General features: G+C 47.1%; 1 protein-coding gene across 14 annotated transcripts in view, besides 2 other annotated features; it reads right to left on the reverse strand.

The window, feature by feature from the left end:
• Positions 1-14,144, reverse strand: part of APPL2 (adaptor protein, phosphotyrosine interacting with PH domain and leucine zipper 2) — a 62,875-nt gene that overhangs the window by 16,881 nt on the left and 31,850 nt on the right. For 13 of the 14 annotated variants that reach the window (XM_017019554.2, NM_018171.5, XM_006719472.2 and 10 more), the window contains 6 exons: positions 13,523-13,605; positions 9,193-9,351; positions 7,585-7,773; positions 5,405-5,447; positions 5,265-5,321; positions 5,081-5,169 (listed from right to left, as the gene is read on the reverse strand). In XM_017019554.2, the coding sequence (XP_016875043.1) occupies positions 5,081-5,169; positions 5,265-5,321; positions 5,405-5,447; positions 7,585-7,773; positions 9,193-9,351; positions 13,523-13,605 (620 nt within the window). Of the gene's footprint in view, positions 1-5,080; positions 5,170-5,264; positions 5,347-5,404; positions 5,448-7,584; positions 7,774-9,192; positions 9,352-13,522; positions 13,606-14,144 lie in introns of those variants that run through there. The other variant, XM_047429066.1, reaches the window with a different exon arrangement.
• Positions 9,300-9,800: an enhancer, noted in NCBI's record as "H3K4me1 hESC enhancer chr12:105593258-105593758 (GRCh37/hg19 assembly coordinates)". NCBI's record gives its function as "activates a minimal SCP1, AML or CMV promoter by ChIP-STARR-seq in naive H9 embryonic stem cells {active_cell/tissue: H9 hESC(naive)}" and the evidence as "EXISTENCE:reporter gene assay evidence [ECO:0000049][PMID:30033119]".
• Positions 9,801-10,301: an enhancer, noted in NCBI's record as "H3K4me1 hESC enhancer chr12:105593759-105594259 (GRCh37/hg19 assembly coordinates)". NCBI's record gives its function as "activates a minimal SCP1, AML or CMV promoter by ChIP-STARR-seq in primed H9 embryonic stem cells {active_cell/tissue: H9 hESC(primed)}" and the evidence as "EXISTENCE:reporter gene assay evidence [ECO:0000049][PMID:30033119]".

The raw sequence follows: 14,144 nt of genomic DNA on the forward strand, positions 1-14,144 counted from the left end.
TTAACCTTACGCTTTTATAATCAAGTGAATACTTGTTGAAGGCTGAGGTGACTTTTATGAATGAAAATACAAGGGGAAAGATTGACCTCAATCCCTTAATCCATTCTACAAATAAACCTTCTTCAAACTTCCTTCATATCCTTGGCTAAAAACCTTCAGTCTGCCCCATTTCCTGCAGTTCTCTCTGCTGCACAGCATCCTGCACTGTGTTACTAGTTTTCTGTCTGTATCCTTCTCTGTGAGGCAGGTTTTGGAGGGCCTATGCTATAGCTAAGTCATATGTATTCTTGGAACATAGTAGGCACTAAAAAATGTTAGCTGAATGAACCAAAGGTCCTGGCTTGGCATTTAATCACCATCTGGCTCTAATTTCCCCAAAAGCCTCCCTTTCCACTCCTTTAATGCACCCTCTACGAGAGCTGTACCACACATACCACATGCTTTTCCTTATTTCCATCTTTATCCCAATTCTGCTGCTCACCCAACTCTCCCAACCCAGCTCAAATTCTTCCTTATCCACTAGGCCAGCCGGCACCCCGCCTCCCTCCTCTGAACTCCTGTGATTCTTCTCAGTAAGTCACAGGCACAGTCTTGCGGCCCTGTGTGCCTCCTGAGCTTCGCATTGTGCCCACACTCATTGCTGACATTGTGGCCCATCAAATACTGTGCTCTCTGTGGACAGACTAATCAGGAACCAACATGTTCTTCTCCTCCAGTCTCAGAATACTGTAATTTAACTTTTCAACGTTTTAAAAATCTTTTCTCCTCAGCCAGACTATAAACTCCTTTGAAGGGCAAAGAATATCAATGTATTTTGATTTCTTTCATTGCCTGGACCTTAAAAAGCTCTCAGTGATCTTTCTGTTCATTTGATATGTCAATATTTTCCTATTTCTCAAACATGTCAATAACTGAATGTAGTGTATCAAACTACTTTACAACAGGCATTTGACAAATGATCATAATGACTGGAATGTGGATGAAACAGTACATAGGCTTGTAGATGGTCACTGCAAGGCAAGCCCTTGGAGACCACTTGGTCTGACCTCCATTGTTAACAGAAAAGGAAACTGAGGCCTCTGGAGAAATTGAGCAGTTTTGAAGGCACTCAGTTACCTGGTGGGCGAGCCAGATTATAAACAGGGGTCTCCTCACTGCCAGGAGAGTGCATCTCCAGGATGTCATACTGCTTCAATAACCCTAAATGGGACAGTCACATCTGTTTGATCCTGTCTTTAAGAGAGGGCTGTGATATAATAAGTGGTAAGCACTGAAGAAAGCTATGAGTAGAAGCTTCAAGGGGAGAAAGTGAGTCTAAGATTTTGGCTCCCCAGAGAGTCAAAGGGGGGAGATAGATAACAATCAAGATAGGGTGAGGCCAGGTTGTAGAGGGCCCTTATACCGTCAGGTGGGGTCTGAACTTGACACAACAGTATAGGGAGCCACCAAAGACTCTGAACATAGGAGTGACATGATGTTAAGTTTCACCTGTACAGGATCTCCATGTCATCAGCTCTAATGGACACTTCGCAGTCATCATAATTGACTTAAAGCATCTAACACAGCTGATCTCTCCTTGAACTCTCCTCTCGGTTTCGGCTGGTGCCACATTTTACAGAGTTTCCTTCTACCTTTCTTGATGTTCCTTCTCAATGTCTTTGGCAGGCTCCTTTTCTACCCTAAATGCTGGAGTTCTTTAGGATTCTGTTGCAGGCTCTGCTTTCCCCTCCCTCTCCTTTCTCCCATAGAGGACCTCATCCACTGCTGTTCAGTGCTATGAGTCCCCGATTCATACACCCAGACCAGACGTTTTCTTTGCACTCCAGACCTGTATCATCCGTTGACTGCTTGACAACTCATTTGGGATGTTTCACAGGCCTCTCATGCTTAACATGTCCAAAACATGAACTCTTCTTTTTTTTAAAAAACACCATCTGCCCAGGTGTTCAGCTCCAACTGAAGTCATCCTTTGATCTGTCCTTTTCCGTCTACGCTTATCCATCAAAAGTCCCACAGGTTTTACCTCCAGAATAAGTCCACATCCATCTACTTTTCATCTCTGCCGTGATCCTGGTCTAAACCACCATCATCTTCTCTTGGGCTGTTGGGACGCCTCCTCACTGGCTACAGACTTGCTCTGTTCTGTGCTCTCCAGAGCAGCCAGAGCTAACTAACTTTGGAAAATGGAGAGTGGGTATCTCTGTCTCCATCACAAACACGCACCTCTCAGAGCCCTTCCACAGCTCCCCACATGCTTCCTTCTTGATCGACCCCTGCCTCCCTCCCCACCCGCCCTCATCCTGTCCCATGATCTCCACTGTCCCGTTACACTGCCTTTTTTCAGTTCCTCAGATATACTAAGATCTTCTCTGTCCTGTTACCTCCACAACTGCTACCAAGAATACACTACTTCTGGCTCTTTGCAAGAGTGGCTGCGTCTTGTCTTTCACTTTGCAGCTTGAATATTATCTTCACAGCCAGGCCCTGCACAGGTCTCCTCTTCACCCTCCATGACAGCACCTCATCTCCTTAACATTGGGGTGCTTCCCTCATTTTAACTCAGCCTGTGCTTACCTTTTGCCTGTTCTCCCCAGTAATCCCTGCGTTTTCTTACCTAGGCCAGGCCTGGGCAAATAGTAGATACTCAAATATTTGTTGAGTAGCTAGATAAATGAATGAACAGCAGATATATAGTAACTGCAGAATGAGGGAAGTCCACACATGGTACTTGCTTAGAAGTAAATAGCAGTTTGTTCCCAAGAACACAATTTCTCTGATTCTTTCCCCCCCCACTGTCATCAAAACATTGCTTTATTCTCAGTGGGCTGACCCTAAAAGAGATAGTATCCCTCTCCCCACAGCTCTGGGGCCATCTGGCAGCCACATCTGTCACCCATCCAATCACTGGGCTAATTCAGCTGGCTGGCTAGAGTCATTTTTTTTCCCCCCAGGGAGTCTTCTGTGTCCCTTCTGTGGGGTCCTTTTGGTCTAAGAATGTGACTTGCTTATTCTAGAATAGGGGGAAAAGTCAGTTACTGAATAATTAAATATAGGCTGCAAATTGTCTTTTTAGGAAACGTATCACACCTTCTAATTCCAAACCCCCCTAAACTATCCATCAACACCCTTGAGAGATGGCATATCAGAGCTAGAAGGGTCCTAGGAGGTTAGCTAGTTCCCTGTATGTCACAAGGCTGAGAAGACAAAGGCCCAGAGCATTTACTGACTTACTCAGGGACATCTAGCTGTGTATAACACAAGGCAGAGATATCGTTAGAACCCATGTCTCTCAACTGCAGGTCTGGTATTCCCTCCATTGTGCACATCAAACATTTTTGTAACTTTACAAAGAGAAGACATACATTTACCCAGGAGAAGGCTACGGGATTAACCCTCGCTGACTGGATCTTTAGTTCCACTTCCTTTCATATAGTGTCTTCCTTAGAGTTCCATTTCATAAAGCATGCTACTTGTATCAACTGTTAAATCCTTAAGTTACGGTGCTGAAATGTTTCTCGGACTTGTTGCCTCTTTCTCCTCTTTTTTAAAAACATTTGTTTACGTTCTCATGTTCTGCTTCACAGCTACTACTACATCAACATCCTACTGGGTCTTGCACTCTCCCCTTCTTCCCACAACCTGTATCCTAAAATTTATCCTACTCAGGTACAGAATAGTCTTCCCTAACCCTGGTTCTGACCATCGCCCATTTTCTCAAAACCTTCCATTTTGCTCCATTGCCTGTAACTCCTAAGCAGGGCACCCAGGTCTTTCCAGTTAGACTCAAACCTATTTTCTGGCCTTACCTTCTCCCATTCCTTCTCAGATACCCCGTGCCCGGCATGTGAACGCTGGCTCCACACTGCACAGATTCTGGGAAGTTACTTAACCACTGAGTTTTCTAATGACTTCCTTCTGGGGTCATTAGATATTTGTAAAAAATGTAATGGGGTTCTTTCTACCATGCCACTAAAAGATGAACACCAAATATAGTCGTAATTTTAATTTACCCTTTAATGCCAGGCTTTCATTAGTATGAAAATACAATCCTCTACTATTTAACCAGATGGAAACTCCCATTAAGACAAAAGGTAGGATTCCTGGAATAAATCCTAAAGCACTATTCAAAATGAGGAAAGCTGTATGCATGAAAATGTTTGCTCTAAATGATAACAGTAAACGCCAGGGAGATAACCTAAATATTCAATGGTTAATAAATGGTAGAATGGGCCAGGCGCAGTGGCTCATGCCTGTAATCCCAGCACTTTGGGAAGCTGAGGCGGGTGGATCACTTGAGGTCAGGAGTTCAAGACCAGCCTGGCTAACATAGTGAAACCCCATCTCTATTAAAAATACAAAAATTAGCCAGGTGTGGTGGTGGGCGCCTGTAATCCCAGCTACTCGGGAGGCTGAGGCAGGAGAATCACTTGAATCTGGGAAGTGGCGGTTGCAGTGAGCCGGGATTACTCCACTGCACTCCAGCCCAGGTGACAGAGTGAGACTCCGTCTCGAAAAAATTAAAAAATAAGTAAGTAAAAAAATAAATGATGGAATAGGGTGTAGTTACTAAAAGGAACAATTCTGAAAAATGTAGAAATAGTTAAAAAAAAAAAAAGTATGTGCAAATACAAAATAAATGTACATATAAAACTATCACTGTATGTTCAGATAAGGCGTGGACATTAACATGGGATACATAAAAGGCGATTTTTTTTTCCTTATTTTTTAAAAACATTTTTGCTTTCGTTCCCTTACTTTGTTGACACTGATAGAAAATGTGGGGAGAACTCCTGACTAGGAGGACCCTCCATGCACGTCCTGTTTGCTTGGACTGCAGCAGCATGGTCCAGTGGAAAGGACAGGGATGCTGACATCAGACAGGCTTGAATCCTGGCTCTACCACTCACAATGTGGTGTGAACACAGGCAGGTATTTAACCTTTCCCAGCCATCGTTACTGCTTCTGTTAAACAGGCTGAAAAACATGCCTTGGTTTGTGTGGATTAAGCAACAACTCATTTCGTATTCCTAATCAATAATTTGGCTCCACAAAAGCTAGTTTTTCTTTGTCCTTTAGTTACCTGGGGCATGAGCTTTCTTGTTTTTTTCCAAAACTTGTAATGGGAGTCACTGCTTGCAGAGCGGTCTGATTCAACTTGATCGCGACTGCCTAAAAATCCACAGGAAGACACACTCAGTCCCAGGAGGTGGACGCTTACCTTCCAGGTTGAGAAAAGGGCTGAGATGCCGGTGGCTGATAATTACCTCAGGGTTGTCGGTCAGGTAGATCTGTCTGGAGATGTTGTTTATTGCACATATCCACTGTAGAGGACATTAAAAAAGAACACTGAATCCCAAAGTCACCCACCACGTTAGGAAAGAAATATGACAAACAAAATTTTTACCTCTTCATTTTCCTTTCTGCTCTCAGCCTGGAGGATTATTCCCCTGAAACAAAAGTGTCTAAGTAATTAAGTGCTTCCCTGATCTCAGTGACTGGGAATTTCTCTACATAAACTGAACTTAGCTGGGGTGTGGGAGGAAAAGTGCCATGAAGGCAGCATGATGAGAGGGAAAGAAAATGGGGTTCCAGGGCCAGGTGCAGTGGCTCATGCCTGCAGTCCCAGCATTTTGGGAAGGTGAGGCAGGAGGATGGCTTGAGCCCAGGAGTTCGAGACCAGCCTGGGCAACATGGTGAAACCCCCTCTCTACAAAAAATACAAAAATTAGCTGGGCGTGGTGGCGTGTGCCTGTAGTCCTAGCTACTAGAGAGGCTGAAGTGGGAGGATCGATCGAGCCCAGGAGGCTGAGGCTGCAGTGAGTGGTGACTGTGCCACTGCACTCCAGCCTGGGTGATAGGGCAAGGCCCTATCTCAAACAAAAAAAAAAAAAAGAAAAAGAAAAAAGAAAATGGGCTTGTAGGTCTGGCTCTGCCCTGATTCACTATGTGATCTTGGACAAACATGGCCGTTTCCCTGGGCCTCAGCATGTTCATCTATGAAATGAGAAGGCGGGACTCGGATCTTCTAGCCCAAATCTGTGTTTGTACAGTGAGATCCACCTGTTGACCTCCTCTAATGATCCAAGATGACCAGGACTCCAAGCCCAGCCACTCCTCAAACCATGCCCAAAGAAGGACTTGGCAGCCCATTCACTCCTTTCCCAGAACTGAAAAGTCTGCTGCGTATGGAGGCCCGGGAATAAGGTAACAGTAATACTGCCCTACCTTTGTGGAGGCGTTAACTCTTTTTTTTTTTTTTTTTTTTTTTTTTTTGATGGAGTTTTGCTCTTGTTGCACCAGGCTGGAGTGCAATGGTGTGATCTCGGCTCACCACAACCTCCGCCTCCCAGGTTCAAGCGATTCTCCTGCCTCAGCCTCCTGAGTAGCTGGGATTACAGGCATGCGCCACCACTAACGTGCCCGGCCAATTTTGTATTTCCAGTAGAGACGGGGTTTCTCCATGTTGGTCATGCTGATCTCAAACTCCCAACCTCAGGGGATCCACCTGCCTCGGCCTCCCAAAGTGCTGGGATTATAGGCGTGAGCCACTGTACCCAGCCGAGGCTTTAACTTTTTAAAGAGACCCCACATCTGCCAGTTCCCTTGTTCCTCTCATCTGTGGCAGATGGAGTAACATAGATCTTATCCCTATTTTATATCTGAGGAAAGTGAGGCCCAGAGGAGGTAACTGCAAAGGACCATGATGAGCATCCAGGAATCTCCATTCCCAGGTCATTTCCCATCACCAAAGCAGGAAGGATGAGGTCTAAAGCTGCTCTGCCAAGCTGGGAGGAGAGACATCATCCCAATGCCGTCCCCACCCCTACCCCTGCTGTTCAGGTCAAATCTTAATAGAATGCAGTGTGAGAAGAGCGGCTCTGATGACGGGCAGGGCCACTCCTCTCCCCAGGCAGGTGAACCCTGAAGCCCCTCCATGGGACCCTGAAGCCCCTCCATGGGACCCTGAACTCCTTGGAGCAGTTTAAAAACCACCACTCTGAGAGGGGATCCCACTGGGATGGGATCTACTGTGAATGGCCACAGCCTGCGGATTGGTAAAGTACCACCTCTTTGGGGCCCCTCAGGTACACAGGACATGTGGGAACAGCCTGGCAGCCGACGATGCTGCTGCAGTGGAGTACACTTCTCACAACTCCTGCTTCTGCTGGAAAAATGGCCTTCTCAGGAAGGTCGTCCTTACCAAAATAGTTACTCTCCCCTGCTGCAATCCAAACACAAATGCTTCTTTACAACAGGCTAGGAGTAGCCACAGCCTTCTCTCTCTGAGAATCTATGCTAACAAGCACGACTTCTGTTGCTGTCTCACACACGTAGGTCATCTCTTCTCCAAAGCCACAGACAAACCCTCACTTATCTCCATATGGGATAAGGCAGGCTGGATCCCTTATGGGTCATGCGGGCTTGTTTAAAGAGAGCAGAAAATCATCCTCCTGAAAGGTCAACAATACCCAGATTGGGGCCTCTCCCACAGAGGGCTGGCACATAGGAATGAACTAGGAGGCCCTTGGAACGGGTGGAACCACTATACTCATTCTCCTCCCAAATAAAACGCGTGAAACATACGATTTTCCATTGGGCGTGGTGATCTGGAAGCAGTAGCGCCGGTCTTCGCAATCCACGGCCATCACTGAGCAGTTGTCCAGGTCCTGGATCAAACCTCCAGCCACGGCTCCCCTGGGCTGACACATGAGATTCCCGCCTTGGGTGAAGAAATAAAGCCTCTCCCAGGTGGTGGTGACCAGCCCTGTTTTGCTGTGAGTTGTGTTTTAAAAAGCCCATTAGTACCAGAAAGCACCAGCGGCCACCTCCAAGTCTTGCTACCTCGTTATGGGTACTGGTGGCATTTTAGAAATAATGTGTTTCTTTATATCGTTAAAGCAAAACTGCCCATTCAAGTGGAAAGAGCAGCAGAAGGGTACAATTTAGCTGGAATGATCTGGGAGATCATGGGCTCTGCTTCCAAGGGAGACACCAGTCCCAGGGCCGACTCCCCGCACCACAGCCACATGCTGACTACTAAACCAGGAGATGCAACTAGAATGAGTCCGACACCATTAAGGACTGAACACCTGGAGAATCATTTCTCTGACACCTGGAGCTGAGCTGCTCTGAATCTAGTCAGGGTTGCCTTAGCCCACAGCACCCACCCCATAGTCCTAGGAGGCTCTCAACAGACTGGATTTTGCTGTAATTGAAGGTCATTCTTGTTTTGTGGGCAGCTTACAAAAGGAAAATCTAGTTCCTGGCAAATAACGACAGAACCCGGTAGGTTTTCTACATCTGCAGAACTACAGGGGACATTTAGCTTGTGATCGCTGCAAGTTCACAGACCTTAGAGGTACTCCAGCCTGGTAACAGCTGGCAGTTCCTCTCCATGGACCCTCCACTGGGGGTTATCAAACACATTTACTTGGCTCAGTATTTACTGAGTAGCAACTATGTCCAAAGGCACTGGGTTTCCTGCCCCAATAATTTCCCCAAATGGCAACGGCTGACATCTGAGTGCTCACTGCCTGGGAGGGATGACCACATTCAATCTAACTTCGTAAAGCAGGTGCAGTTATCAGCTCCATTTTACAGATGAAGAGATCAAGGCTCAGCCCAGCTGGGATGTCTGATTCCAAAGTCAGTGCTTTTCACACCACACCATGACAATATCCTCTCTGCTCACAGAAATACTTAAACCTGATCATCCCTTCCATTCAAAACGGACACTTAAAGACCTGAGTGGTAAATGTGTGACTCAATCAGTATGAATCGAACTGACTCTAAAAGCCTCCTGACCTTGCCTCTGGCCTTGCAGGTAGGTCTCCAGCACATGGCTCTCATCTGCCAGCTGGTGTGGGGGAAGTGGCATGAGGGGATAAAAACTGTCAGTGGTCCAGGACGGCAACAGTTAAGAGTGGTCTGTTTGCACATGGCCACAGTGACCAGAGTCCACAGCACCAGGCTCTTAGAGGACTCGTTTCCAGCCCCATCTCTTAGTGCAGTTTGGCGCCTGGGCCCCAGAGGTTTCCTGTGTTGCAAGTGGGAGGGCTGCTGTGATGGGAGTTCTTCCCAGTCTCACCCACCCACCTCCCTCTGACTTTAATGAGGCACGTAAGATTGCTTTTCAGCCACCTCTTAGGGAAAACGGATTTCAGAAAAAGAGGCAGACGGTGGCGTTCTCACTTTCTAAGATTAAGGTAACCAGCCTTCTGGATGAGGTTCCTGTTGATCTGTGGTGCGGCCACATCAGAGTCTGGAGTGTAAACAGATTCATCAACAGAAAGTAATTCTTGCTGGGACACCCGCATCTTTTCCGCCTCGGCTTCCAGTTCTACCTGAATGCTTAAGACAGAAGGTGTTGGGTCAGTTACTCACTGCTGGCCAACCCAGCACTACTAAGAAGCCACTGGCAGCCATCACTCCACCCCCGCAAAGCTTCCGGCCTTACAGATGGAGCTGCCAGCCTCCTACAGGGCCACAACCCTCTACCCTTAGGCCCTGAAAACTATGAATCACAGGGACTCAATTTTGCAGTAGTAAATGTGTTTATATGACTGCTGTTTTAAAACAGAACCTAAGGAATGCCATTGAACTATGCTTGAACCCAGCTACACAGTCTTTTTTTTTGTTGTTTTTATTTTTTTTTTGAGATGGAATCTCGCTCTGTCGCCCAGGCTGGAGTACAGTGGCGCGATCTCCTCTCACTGCAAGCTCCGCCCCTCAGGTTCATGCCATTCTCCTGCCTCAGCCTCTCGAGTAGCTGGGACTACCGGCGCTCGCCACCATGCCCGGCTAATTTTGTTTTTTTTTTTTTTTTTGTATTTTTAGTAGAGACGGGGTTTCACCGTGTTCGCCAGGACGGTCTCGATCTCCTGACCTTGTGATCCGCCTGCCTCGGCCTCCCAAAGTGCTGGGATTACAGGCGTGAGCCACCGCGCCCGGCTGAACCCAGCTAAACAGTTTTGCTGCTGACAGAGGTATCCATGCTCAGCACCGTTGATGGAAATTTTTGGAGAAAAGCTTTGAGAAGCCCATCCTCCAGGGCTGCTCACACAGGCAGCCTAAGCAAGTTCCATAAAGGAAGGAATGAAATGGTAGTCATGCCTCCCCTGCTCTTGGTTTAGGCAGGAGTGGTGGTGACAGGAAAATGACCAGGAAGTGGTACTAAGGTGCAACAACAAAGCCAAAGGCAATGCTTTTCCTTTTTTAACAGCCATAGTTCTGCCCTGAGGCTTCATAGGCTAGCAGGCCAAGGGCTGCCCACACAGGGGTAAGTGGGCGGATGGCCTGGCTCTGGGACATTAGCCCCTGGCTTTCATGGAGGTGTGTGCTGAGGTGTGGAAATGGTGGCTGCCCTTTTCCCCTACTGAGCTAGACCGCACCAGGCCACCCCACCCACTAGTGACAGTCTTGGTTACAAAGTCCTAAACACAATCTGCCCAACGGGGCCCATCCATCTGAGAAATCACAATTTAGAGGAGGTGTTCCTCTGCACTGTGTTACAGGAGACACGGCAACCACAAGGTTAAAATCAGAAGCAAACAGGGGGCCAGTGTTTCTCCACATGAGCACCTCAGGATTCTCTCTCTTCTGGAGGTAAGGAACGTTGGGCTTGGACATTCCATATTCCCCCACTCTCTACGTATGTATGTATGTATGTATGTATGTATGTATGTATCTATCTATCTATCTATCTATCTATCTATCTATCTATCCTATCTATCTAATCTATTCATTTTGAGAGAGTCTTGCTCCGCCACCCAGGCTGGAGTGCAGTGGCATGATCTTCGCTCACTACAACCTCCGCCTCCTGGGTTCAAGCGATTCCCATGCCTCAGCCTCCCAAACAGCTGGGATTACAGGCATGCACCACCACACCCAGCTCATTTTTGTATTTTTAGTAGAGAAGGGGTTTCACCATGTTGGCCAGGCTGGTCTTGAACTCCTGGCCTCAAGTGACCCACCCATCTTGGCCTCCCAAAGTACTGGGATTACAGGTGTGAGCCACTGCTCCTGGTCAGCCCCTCTTCTTTAATGCAGCTCGATTTTGGCTTTTCTGACATTTGACTGGGATGATGAGGGACTCTACCATTGGTGGCCTTAAGACAGGTAAGCTAGAGGACAAACCTCATTAGCTTCGCCTGCTTGTCACTGCCCCGGCTGAGAGAATGGAACGTGGAAGACCAAGCTCAGCACATAGAACGGGGGAGGAGAGAAGGGGAAGGAGGGACCAAGAGCCTGTCAAGAGCTCAGGGTCAGCTTTTATGGGTGAGAAACCTCTTTGAAGATGTGATACAAGAGAAGGATCCTGTCCCCAGAAAGACACGGGCACCAACGTGGCTTCTTGCGTACAACTCCAGGAGATTTTTAGTAGCTGCCCTGCCTTCCCCTCCCCCACCCCACACAGACTCAGGCTCAAACACTGGGAGCTCATCCAAGGTTCCCAGGAACCAAAGGAACAGGGTCAAAATTAACTGCTTTCAACTGGTTCTCTTCACAGATAAAACAACAAAAAAAAGCATGTATATATATACACACACACATATATATAAAATTATATATATCTGTTGATATATAGATATGAGCCGCAGAAAGGTAGAACTGTATCACTATAGGGTTAGGGAATAAAGAAAGCTCTGCAGGGTGGCTGGAAACCATGCCACGCTGTCTGGATTCCCACCACTGGGTTCTGAATCCACCCCCACCTGGAAAGCACAGAGCACCTGTGGCATCATCCCCCGGGGAAGGGCTGCACAGCTTCAGGGCCACCACCAGATCCTGCTCTGAGGCCTCCCTGGGTGGGCTGGCTGCTCATGCATGGCAATGCTGCAGCAAAACCATCCCTTGGTTTGGAGAAAAGTGGTCATATTTACTCACCAACATGAAATTTAAAATTACAGGAAAAATAGCATTCAAAACAGTACTTTAGCTATCTGAATCAAGTGCTGCAAGGTTCAGTTTGGAAACCCCATCAGCTGCCTGTCACCCCATAACTAAATACAGCTTGTCAGACAGAGGGGGTAACTCACAGAACCAGCCCCAGCCTGCACAGAGAAGGCCATGTAGCCCGGGCGCAGACCCTGACGTTAATGCCCGGGTTGTGGTTCTCTCAGGATGGCTGGTGCTATACTTGGGTTGGCCTAATAATGGTTAATGGAAATGCTGACAAGAAGGGAAGACAGAGGCTCTAGGATCTGCAGAAAGAGGAAACCATGGCAACTCACACGCATGGGCACAAATGTCCTGCTACCCATTCAGAAAATAATCAGGTGTGTGAAAAAAATTGAGGCATAGATGGTTCTTCCAGAAACACAGAAGTGCGAGGAATTCTGAGAGTTAAAGCAGGATGAGGAAGAGACAGTGAAAGATGAGGGACAGAGGATACTTTTACAAAGTGACCATTTAATAGCCTCTCATCTTCTACCTCCTCCTAACATTCCCAGGGGCTAAGAACCAAATAAATTAAAAGGCAAGAAACTGCAATCAGATTTCACAAGTTGGTTTCTAGCATAATTATAAATAAAAGCTACATCACTCACTGCTGCCAATTATTCAGAGCTAAACAGCTCAGTGACTTTCAGGTAGGGGTATATGCTCTCAACTTGCTTTGCATCTGTCTCAATGCTCAGCACTGGTTTTTCTTGGGACTGATTATTTTTGGAGCATTTCAGATAGACTTCTACCTAGATCAATTCCCTTGTTTAGCCTTCATGAGGTGTGGTGAAATGCAACATCTTCAAGAAAATGAGCAACTTTCTCTTCGTGTATCCACATGAAATAAAATTCCTATTCATTATTTCCATTTTGTCTATTTGTCAACTACACACACACACACACACACACACACACACACACACACACACACACACACACACGGACCTATTTCTGTACTCCAGAACTCGTCGCAAGCGCTTGGGAAGCCCATGCTGTGCTCCGGATGGACCAAGCCTGAGGCTGCAGGGGCCGGGGCCCCCCTCAGAGCTCTGTCATGGAAGCTGGGGAGGGGCGGGTGGCAGGGCGCCCACAGCCTCCAGTTAGTGTGGCAGTTACTCAACTACTGAAGACAGTGATGTTGTATTTCTTAAAATAAGCAAATACAGTTTTTAAAATTAATTCCAAAAAGGCTCTATCCCTCCTTTACCTATTATAAATTAATGCACTGGTCAGAGTTTCCTGAAAAGTGACAGCACTTCCATCTGCTACTGCCACGTACTCTCAAAGAAAGTCAAGAGCTCTTCTAAAACCACAGCAAAGCTAAGCTGGGTTCCCAGGCTTGTGACATGTGAAACTCCAATATTCACAACAAGAGATCTGGAGAAAACTCTGCCAATGTGCCCCAGATATTTATGAATATTGGCAGCTAAGGCAAGGGCACTGTTAGCGAGCATTTCTGGGGTGGACAGAGGCTCTGTGCGACCCTCCACAGTTAGAACCCTCCCCGTGACCTCCCAGAGATGTCAGATCAGCATGAAAGGCAAGGGGCACACAAGACCCGGCCGGAGTGCAGCATTACCTTTGAACCATGTCTGCAACGGAGGATAAAAAGCTGTCCATACGTTTGGAAAACATCTCTGCTCCCTTCTTAAAAAAGTTAATCTGAAAGATATAATTATAATATTCTGAAAATCATCCAGGGAAGTGATCAGTGAACTCACTGAAGGTGAGACAGGCAGCGTGAGGGCAGCCATCACAGCTGGCTGGCCCGCCTCGCACGCGGCACTGGCAGCATCTCTACTGAGTCTACACCTGAGCACTATGCACTTTGAAACTGAAACCACAGTTGCTGGCTTTTGGGTGCCAATGGAAGGGATTCCTTACTTCCTGTAACTCCTGTCTAATATTCACTTCCCAGAAAGTCTGGGTCCCCTGACAAACCCTGGAGGGCAGGGGTATGGGAGAGGGGAAGAAGAACATTTCTGTGTATTAGTGGCATCTGCACCATCCCACCCTGAGCAGCTCCAGTTTGCATTCTTCTACAGCCATGACTTTTACAAATCTGCCCATTAGGTATGAACTGCTCCATTTTCTATGTCTGCTGGTTGGGAGGTAACAGTAACAGTTGCAAGCCTAGATGATGAAAAAAGAGAGAAAACGTTCCGTGTGAGCAAGGGTATTCTCTCACACATTAACCCGGC

The sequence above is a fragment of the Homo sapiens genome, chromosome 12 (assembly GCF_000001405.40).
Source record: "Homo sapiens chromosome 12, GRCh38.p14 Primary Assembly".
Lineage (NCBI taxonomy): Eukaryota > Metazoa > Chordata > Mammalia > Primates > Hominidae > Homo > Homo sapiens.